Below are 9,840 nucleotides of genomic sequence, written 5' to 3' on the forward strand. Positions count from 1 at the left end.
TTCAAATCCTTTTTCTGCATCTATTGAGATAATCTTATGGTTTTTGTTCTTGACTCTATTAATTTGATATCACATTTATTGATTTTTGTATGTTGAACCATCCTTGCATCTCTAGGACAAATCCAATTTAATGATGGTGAATTATCTTTCTAATGTGTTGCTGAATTCTGTTTGTTATTATTTTGTGGAGAATTTTCACATCTATTTTCATCAGAGATATTGGCCTGTAGTTTTCTTTTTTGCTGTGTTCTTGTCTGGTTTTGGCATTGGGGTAATACTGGCCTTGTAGAATGAGTTTGAAAGTATTCTGTCCTCTTTAATTTTTTTGAAGAGTTTGAATAAAATTGATATTAGTTTTTCTTTAAGTATTTGGTAGAATTCAGCAATGAAGCCATCGGGTCCTGAGCTTTTCTTCGATGGGAGACTATTATGACTTCAATCTCATTACTCATTATTGGCTTATTTGATTTTCTATTTTTTCATGGTTCTGTATTGGTAGGTTGTACGTGTCCAGAAATTCGTCTGTTTTTTTATAGGTTTTCCAATTTGTTGATATGTGGTTGTACATAATAGTCTCTAACAATACTTGGTATTTTTTGGTCTCAATTGTTATGTCTCCTTTTTAATTTCTGATTTTACTCTTTTGGGTATTTTCTCTTTTTTTTAGTCTAGGTAAAGGTTTATCTTTTTTTGTTTATCTTTTCAGAAAGGTGTCCAGGCATGGTGGTTCATGCCTGTAATCCCAACACTTTGAGACGCTGAGGTGGAAGGATCACTAGAGCCCAGGAGTTTGAGACCAGCCTGGGCAACATATTGAGACCCCATCTCTAAAAGAAAAATAATAATAGTCAAGTGTGGTGGCTCATACCTCTGGTCCCAGCTACTTGGGAGGCCAAGGTGAGAGGCTCTCGAGCCCAGCAGATATAGGCGACAGTGAGCTGTGACTGGACCACTGCACTTTGTTGCCTGGTCATCAAAGCAAGACCTTGTTTCAGAAAGAAAACAAAAAGCAAAAAAAAAAAAAAAAAAAAAAAAAAAACCCAAAAAGATAACTTTTGATTTTGTTAATCTTCTGTATTTTTTTAGTATCAATTTCATTTATTTCTCCTTTGATCTTTATTGTTTCTTTTCTTCACTAATTTTGTGTTTGGTTTGTTCTTGCTTTTCTCGTATCTTTACATGCATTGTTAGTTTTTTATTTGAAGTCTCAAGTTTTTTGATGTAAGTATTTCTTTATATAAACTTCCTTCTTAATATAGCTTTTGCTGTATTCCATGGACTTTCGTATGTTGCATTTCCACTTTAATTTATTTCAAGAAATTTTAAAATTTTCTTCTTAATTTCTTCACTGGTCATTGAAGAGCTTATTGTTTAATTTCCATGTGTTTGTGAAGTTTTCAAGATTTCTCTTGTTATTGATTTCTAGTTTTATTCCATTGTGGTCATAAAATATGTTTGATATAATTTCTGCTTTTTTGAATTTGTTAAAACTTATTTTCTGGGCCGGGCACGGTGGCTCACGCCTGTAATCCCAGCACTTTGGGAGGCCAAGGCGGGTGGATCACGAGGTCAGGAGATCGAGACCATCCTAGCTAACACGGTGAAACCCCGTCTCTACTAAAAATACAAAAAATTAGCCGGGCGAGGTGGCGGGCGCCTGTAGTCCCAGCTACTCGGGAGGCTGAGGCAGGAGAATGGCGTGAACCCCAGGGGGCGGAGCCTGCAGTGAGCCGAGATCGCGCCACTGCACTCCAGCCTGGGCGACAGCGAGACTCCATCTCAAAAAAAAAAAAAAAAACAAAAAAACTTATTTTCTGGCCTAAGAAATGGTCTATTCTGGAGGATGTTCCAGGAACTGATGAAAAGAATTTGTATTCTGTAGCAGGTGGTGAAATGTTCTGTAAATGTCAGTTGGGCCTATTATTATGTCTAGTGTGTAGTTTTACTCTGATGTTTCTTTGTTGATTTTCTGTTTGGATAATCTGTTCACTACTGAAATTGGAGTGTTAATGTCCTCTACTGCTAATATATTGAAGTCTATTTCTCCCTTTAGATCTATTGTTGTCTGCTTTATGTACTCGGGAGCTCCAGTGTTGGGTGCCTAGATGTTTATAATTTTTATATCCTCTTGTGGAATTGACCATTTTTTCATTATATAGTGACCACCCTTTTCTCTTTTTACAGTATTTAAGTTAAAGTCTACTATATCTCATATAAGTGTAACTACTCCTGCCTTTTTTTTGTTTTAATTTGCATGGAATATCTTTTTACGTCTTCTCACTTTCAATCTATAGGTGAAATGAGTTTCTTGAAGGTCACATATAAAAGTGAAAGTCACTTCCTTTTTAATCCACTCAGCAACTCTATGTTTTATAATTGGAGAATTACATTTAATTCTCCAATTACATTTAATGTACATCTCGCTTATATTTAATGTTATTATTGATAGGTAAGGACTTATTACTGCCATGTTGTTACTTGTTTTCTAACTCCTCCCTTCCTTCTTTTCTTTTATACAGTATTCCTTTGTGCTTAAATGATTTTCCATGGCAGCATGTTTTCATTCATTGCTTTTTATTTTTAATATATCTATTACAGGTTTTTGCTTTATGGTTACCATGGGGCTTGCAAAAAACATCCCACAGTTACAGCAAATATTTAAGACTGATATCAACTTAACTTTGATCACCAAAAAGATAAAAGAAAGAAACAAAAAAATCTATACACATTAACTCCCTTCTTGCCCCCACATTTTGGTTTTTTGATGTACATCTTACATTTTTTATATTGCATATCTCTTATATGATTGTTAAAGTTATTATTCTTAACGGTTTTGTCTTTTAGTCTCTTACTAAGTATACACGTTGTTCAAATACAACAATTGTATTAGCATAGCAATCACATTAGCATCCTTTTCTTTTGGTTTAAAGAACTCTCTGAAGCATTTTTTTTTGTAGACAGTTCTGATACTGATAACTTTCCTCAGTTTTTGTTTGTTTGAGAAAGTGTTGCTCTTTCATTTCTTTTCTTTTATATTGCTTTTTTTTTTTTTGCGGTAGTGTCTCACTCTGTTGTCCAGGCTGGAGTGCAGTGGTGCGATCTTGGCTCACTGCAACCTCTGCCTCCCTAGTTCAAGCAATTCTCCTGACTCAGCCTCCTGAGTAGCTGGGACTACAGGCGCATGCCACCGTGCCTGGCTAATTTTTGTATTTTTATTAGAGACAGGGTTTCCCCATATTGGCCAGGCTGGTCTCGAACTCCTGACCTTGTGATCCGCCCACCTTGGCCTCCCAAAGTGCTGGGATTACAGCTGTGAGCCACCATGCTTGGCCTTCTCTTTCATTTCTTATTGATAACTTTGCTGGGTACAGGATTCTTGGTTGGCAACTTTTTTCTCTCAGCACTTTGACTATAAGGTCCCACTTTATCCTGTCCTGTATGATTTTTGCTGAGGAAGTTCCCTGCCAGACATGTTGCTTCTCCCTCATATGCTATTTGCTTCTTTTCTTTTACTGCTTTCAGGATTCTCTCTTTGTCTTTGACCTTTGAGAATTTGATTATAATATGTCTTGGGGTATTCTTATTTGAGTTGAATCTGGTTTGTGATCTTTGAACATCCTGTACCTGATATTTATATCTTTCTCCAAGTTTGGAAAGTTTTCTGTTATTATTTATTTCAATAAACTTTCTGCCTCTTTGTTTTCTCAGTTCCCTCCTTCACTCCAATAACCTGAATATTTGCTTTTTTGATTTGGTCTCAAAGCTCCTTTAAGTTTTGGTCATTGTTTTTTTCTTTTTTCTCTTCTATTTTCAAATAGTCTGTTTTCAAGCTCACTAATTCTTTCTTCTGTTTGACTAATTCTGCTGTTGATGCTCCCTATAGCATTTTTTATTTAATTTGTTGTAGTTTTCAGCTCTATAATTTCTGTTTGATTTTTTAAAATTATTTCAATTACTCTGTTAAATTTCTCTGATGAGTTACTGAGTCAATTCTCTGTTTTCCGGAAGTTTTTGGAGCTTTATTAAATTAGCTATTTTGAATTGTTTCTTTGAGAGATCACACATCTCCATCACTTTAGGTCAGTCTCTGGCACCTTATTTTATCTATTTGGTGAGGTCATACTTCCCAGAATGTTTTTTATCTTTATGGAAGTGTGATGATATCTGCACATTGATATACTGGGTATTCATTTTAGTCTTTGCAGTCTGGCTTTGTTTGTGCCTGTCCTTCAAAGGACCTTTCAGGGAGTCCACGCTGATGGGCTATTGTTATAAAATAGCTTTATCTTTCCTGGGGCCTCCAGGAGGAAAAAGTTTGGAGCAAATTTGAAGCACATATAGATTCCACTTGAATTCCTTAATCCTTCTAAAGGCCACACCCACATTTCTGGATTGTATTTTCCACCTTTCAATCTGGAAACAAGACATATGGGGCCCTATTATAAAATTAAAATATATATATATTTTCCTTTTTAAGAAGAAGTAAATTTTTCCTCAGTGAATTAGTTTGCTAGTTGAATTCATTTGCCTAATATTAAAAACTTCAAAGTAGATTGCATTTTTATATGCATTATACTTTCTGTTGTCTAAGCTATTGATACCAAATAGAAAAGCCATAAAATTTGAAATACACTTCATACTTCAATATTTGAATTATTTTTAAGGTTTTCAAAGCATTCTAGTGTTGTTTACATAAAGTCATGAACAATGGCTGATGTAAAATGAGTGATGTTGATAAATTGTATCAGTTGATGTTTATTGGTCATCAGTGAACTTATTAGCTTCTTAAGATTCATTTTTCTCAAAGCTAAAAAAAATTTAGTGTGATATCAAGTGATACAGGCTAACAATTTCAGTTATTCCTTTCTACCTCAGAGGAAATTATAAATAAAAGTAATTCTGTCCATTTTCCCAAAACTTAAGCACAGAGGGGGATTTTGTTTTATTTATCTTTTCAATGCTAGTTACTCAATGTACGTCAGTCAATTGAAGAATAGATGAGGAGTCTTTTGAGCAATGGGAAGAATGTCTTTTTTTGAGCCTATTGGTTGATGTTTTGCATCTATACATCTCCTGCCAGCTTAGTGCTGATGCTTCAGTAGCTTTCAAATAGTGAGTGCTGAAGTTAAGGAATAAAACTGAGATGCTACAGGTGGGGGGAAATGATTGATCCTGTGACAGAGGAGATATTTCAGAGACCACAACTTTTGTGCAGATCTACCTGTATGTACGTATGTATGTATGTATGTATGCATGTATCTATCTATCTATCTATCTATCTATCTATCTATCTATCTATCTTCATCATCATCATCATCATCTATCTTCTTTATCATTAATCATCTATCACCTACATATCTATGTGTTTATTTAATCAGACTACTTAGAAGCTCACTCTCCATTAAATAGAATTATTTTTTAAAAACTTGTTGGTTGTGATGTATATTTAATGAAGAAATAGTATATATGTTGATAAACAGAGACACAAATTACTGCAGAGACACCAATATTTCTACTAACATTGACATCTCAGGAAAGCAAACCTCTAAAAACAGACTTGATAAAGTTTCTGTACTTTGAGCAATTTTAAACACAGTGAATAAGAATTTGTTTTGCAAGTAACATTAAAATCCTGACAGAAGGGAAAAGTCATTTTGATGCAAATTGCATACAAAATGATCACTGAGGGAAGAAATAAAGGATCAATGAACAATGCAAAACCAAGACAATGAAAGAAGAGAACCTGCATTGTGTTTATTGGGAAGGGTTAGAGGTTCATAATAGAACAATCTTGAATATCATTTACACATGCTTAAGCCAGTTGTTTAGTAAACTGCATAACGTTCTCCTTCCATAAAATCGTTTGGTCCTTTTGAATTCTAGTATCATCCTTGTAACTAGAAGGCAATGTAGTGTGACAACGTAGAGCACAGATTTCAGAGTTGGTCAAATATGGGTTTGGATTTTGCTTTACTTTGCATATGATAAACTATTGGTTGAACTATTTAAACTACCTGAGCCTCAGTCTCATCTTTAAATAGGTATTATAATACTGAACTCTTGGAATCTTTTGTGAGTCTATGAGTCATGGACTATATTCACAGCACTTATGTATATAAAAACTCAATATAGTACATGACTCATAGTGTGTGCTCAACTTTGGTAGATTTGGGGCTTGGCTTTATCCATTCAGAGAAAAATGACCAGATTGTGTGGAGTAAAATTCATGATAGACTAATTTATAGAAAGAACTATTCTTTTTCTTTTCTTTTCTTTTCTTTTTTTTTTGATGGAGTTTTGCTCTTGCTGCCCAGGCTGGAATGCAGTGGCAAGATCTTGACTCATTACAACCTCTGCCTCCTGGGTTCAAGCAGTTCTCCTGCCTCAGCCTCCAGAGTAGCTGGGATTACAGGCTCCCACCACCACGCCCGGCTAATTTTTGTATTATTATAGAGACGGGGTTTCACTGTATTGGCCAGGCTGGTCTTGAACTCCTGACCTCAGGTGATCTGCCCAACTCTGCCTCCCAAAGTTCGGGGATTACAGACGTGAGCCACTGTGCCCAGCCAAAAGAACTATCCTTTTCAAGTATAATTGAGAATTTTTTCCCAATGAACAGAGGAGTTGTGTTGGCAACTCTGGACACCCTCTTCTCAGTCAAGCGTCTTGGAAAAAATAGAAAGTCTTGGGAATATTGCTTGAATAACAGAATGGCTCTGTTTATATGTTTATTTCCCTTTGAAATCTTATTTTTTAATTTCTAATATCAATTTCAGCTATATTAAATATATGAGATGAAGACATTTTGTTATCATTAATTATCTCAGGTAAGAACCAGGATATATTTTGTTCTTTAAATTTTTTTTAGCTTCATATTTTTTCTAACTTTTATTTCAGGTTCAGGGGTACATGCACAGGTCTGCTATATAGGTAAATTGCATGTCTTAGGGATTTGGAATACAGATTATTTTGTCACTTAGGTGATAAGCATAGTACCCAACAGGTTCTTTTTCAATCCTCAGCCTCCTCCCAACCTCCAACCTCAAGTGGGCCCTGGTGTCTGTTTTTCCCTTCTTTGTGTCCATATGTACTCAAAATTTAGCCCCCACTTATAAGTGAGAACAGGTGGTATTTGGTTTTCTCTTCCTGTGTTTGTTTACCCAGGATAATGACCTCCAGCTCCATCCATGTTGCTACAAACGACATGATCTCATTCTTTTTTATGGGTGCATAGTATTCCATTATTATATGTACCACATTTTTATTTTTATCCAGTCTACTGTTGATGGGCATTTAGGTTGATTCCATGTCTTTGTTATTGTGTATAGTGCTGCAGTGAACATACATGTGCATGTGTCTTTCTGGTGGAATGATTTATATTCCTTTGGGTATATACCCAGTAATGGGACTGCTTGTTCAAATGGTAATTCTGTTCTAAGTTATTTGAGAAATTACCAAACTGCTTTCCACAATGGCTGAACTAATTTACATTTCCACCAGCAGTGTATAAGCATTTTCTTTTTTCCACAACCTCACCAGCATCTGTTATTTTTTGATTTTTTATTAATAGCCATTCTGCCTAGGGTGAGGTGGTATCTCATGGTGGTTTTGATTTGCATTTCTTTAATGATTAGTGATGTCTAACACTTTTATATGTTCATTGGCCATGTGTAGGTCTTCTTTTTAAAATAACTGAGATATTTTTCTATCTTAGTTCAGGGTTTCCTTTATTTCTTATTTTTGGATGTTATTATTTATTGTTTATTTTCTGTATATGAACTTCTAGAAATGTAATCATCTTTATTATTGTCATAAATGTTATCTCCTTTTTAAAAGCAATTGAATTTCCTACAACTTACAACTGGCATGTATGGATATAATTAATTTTTATTAGTTTATCAACACTTTTCAACACTTTAACCTTTTTGTTTGACTTTTTTGGACTTTCTAGTTATATAATTATATAGTGATAACAGTCTACATATTATGGATGTACCATAATTTATTTAACCAATTTTCCGCTGATATAATTTATACAGAACCAACTTTTTCTTTATTATCAACAATCTTGGGTAGAATTAAAGGGCTAAAGGGATGCACATTTAAGAATATTGTTGCTGATTGCCAAAAAAGACTTAGTAATTACTCTTCCACCTGCAGAGTGAGTAACTGTCTGTTTCCCAAAACTTTTGTCAACATAGCACTATAAGAAATCAAAGTTTGAATAGATAATAATAAATACTGTTCATTATCAACCAGAAATAACCACTTTCAACAGTTTGATGAGTATCTAAATTTATATTTATAGCCACATCTATATATTTATTCAAATCCCTTTTAATTTTTTTTACAAGAATGGATCAATTTATAGAAACTATTCCAGAACACACCTGTAATAAATTATGTGATGCAAAGCCATTGATATAGTTTTGCTCTCAAACTCAAGTCTCATCTTGAATTGTAATCCCCATAATTCCCATGTGTCAAGGGAGGGACCTGTTGGGAGGTGATTGGATTATGCGGGCAGTTTCTCCCATGCTGTTCTCGTGATAGTGAGTGAGTTCTCACAAGATTTGATGGTTTTGTAAGGCAGTCTTCCCAGCTCTTGCTAACTCGCTGTTTCCTGCTGCCGTGTGAAGGTCTTTGCTTTTCTTACATCTTCTTCCATGACTGTAAGTTTCCTGAGGCCTTCCCAGCCATGTGGAGCTGTGAATCAAGTAAACCTCTTTTTTAAATAAATTACCCAGTCTTGGGTATGTCTTCATAGCAGTGTGAAAATGGACTAATGTATTAAGTTGGTACTGGGAGTGGGGCACTGCTATAAAAATACCCAAAAATGTGGAAGCAACTTTGGAATTGGGTAATGGGCAGAGATTGGAACAGTTTGGAGGACTCAGAAGGAGACAAGAAGATGTGGGAAAGTTTGGAATTTTCTAGAGACTTGTTGAATGATTTTGACAAAAATGCTGTTAGTGATGTGGACAATGAAGTCCAGGCTGAGGTGGTCTTAGATGCAGATGAGGAACTTATTGGGTATTGGAGTAAAAGTCACTCTTTCTCTGCTTTAGCAAAATGGCTAGTGGCATTTTGCCCCTGCCCTACAGATCTTGGGAACTTTAAACTTGAGAGAGATGATTTAGGGTATGTGCTGGAAGAAATTTCTAAGCAGAAAACTGTTCAAGAGGTGATAGAGCATAAAAGTTTGGAGAATTTGCCTTCTGACCATGTGACAAACAAGACAAACTTATTTTCTGGGGAGAAATTCAAGTCAGAGGCAGAAATTTGCACAAGTAATGAGGATCCAAATGTTAATTGCCAAGACAAAGGGGAAAATGTCTCCAGGGCTGTCAGAGGTCTTCAGAGAAGCCCCTCTCATCACAGTCTGGTAGGCCTATGAGGAAAAGATGGTTTCACAGGACAGGCCCGGGGCCTTGCTGATTTGTGCAGTCTCAGAAGTTGGTGTCCTGCATCCCAGCTATGGCTAAAGGGGCCAACATACAGCTAAGAGCATTGCTTCAAAGGGTGCAAGCCCCAACCCTTAGTGGCTTCCATGTGGTCTTGGGCCTGCAGGTGCACAGAAGTTAAGAATTGAGGTTTGGGAACCTCTCCCTAGATGTCAGAGGATGTATGGAAACTCCTGGATGTCCAGGCAGAAGTCTGCTGCAGGGATGAAGTACCCATGGAGAAGCTCTGCTAGTGCAGTGCAGAAGGGAAATGTGGGGTTGGAGCCCCCACACAGAATCCCTACTGGGGTACTGCCTAGTGGGGCTGTGAGAAGAAGCCCAGCATCCTCTAGACCCCAGAATGGTAGGTCCACTCACAGCTTGCATCGTGCACCTG

The sequence above is a fragment of the Homo sapiens genome, chromosome 1 (genome assembly GCF_000001405.40).
Source record: "Homo sapiens chromosome 1, GRCh38.p14 Primary Assembly".
Taxonomy (NCBI): Eukaryota; Metazoa; Chordata; class Mammalia; order Primates; family Hominidae; genus Homo; species Homo sapiens.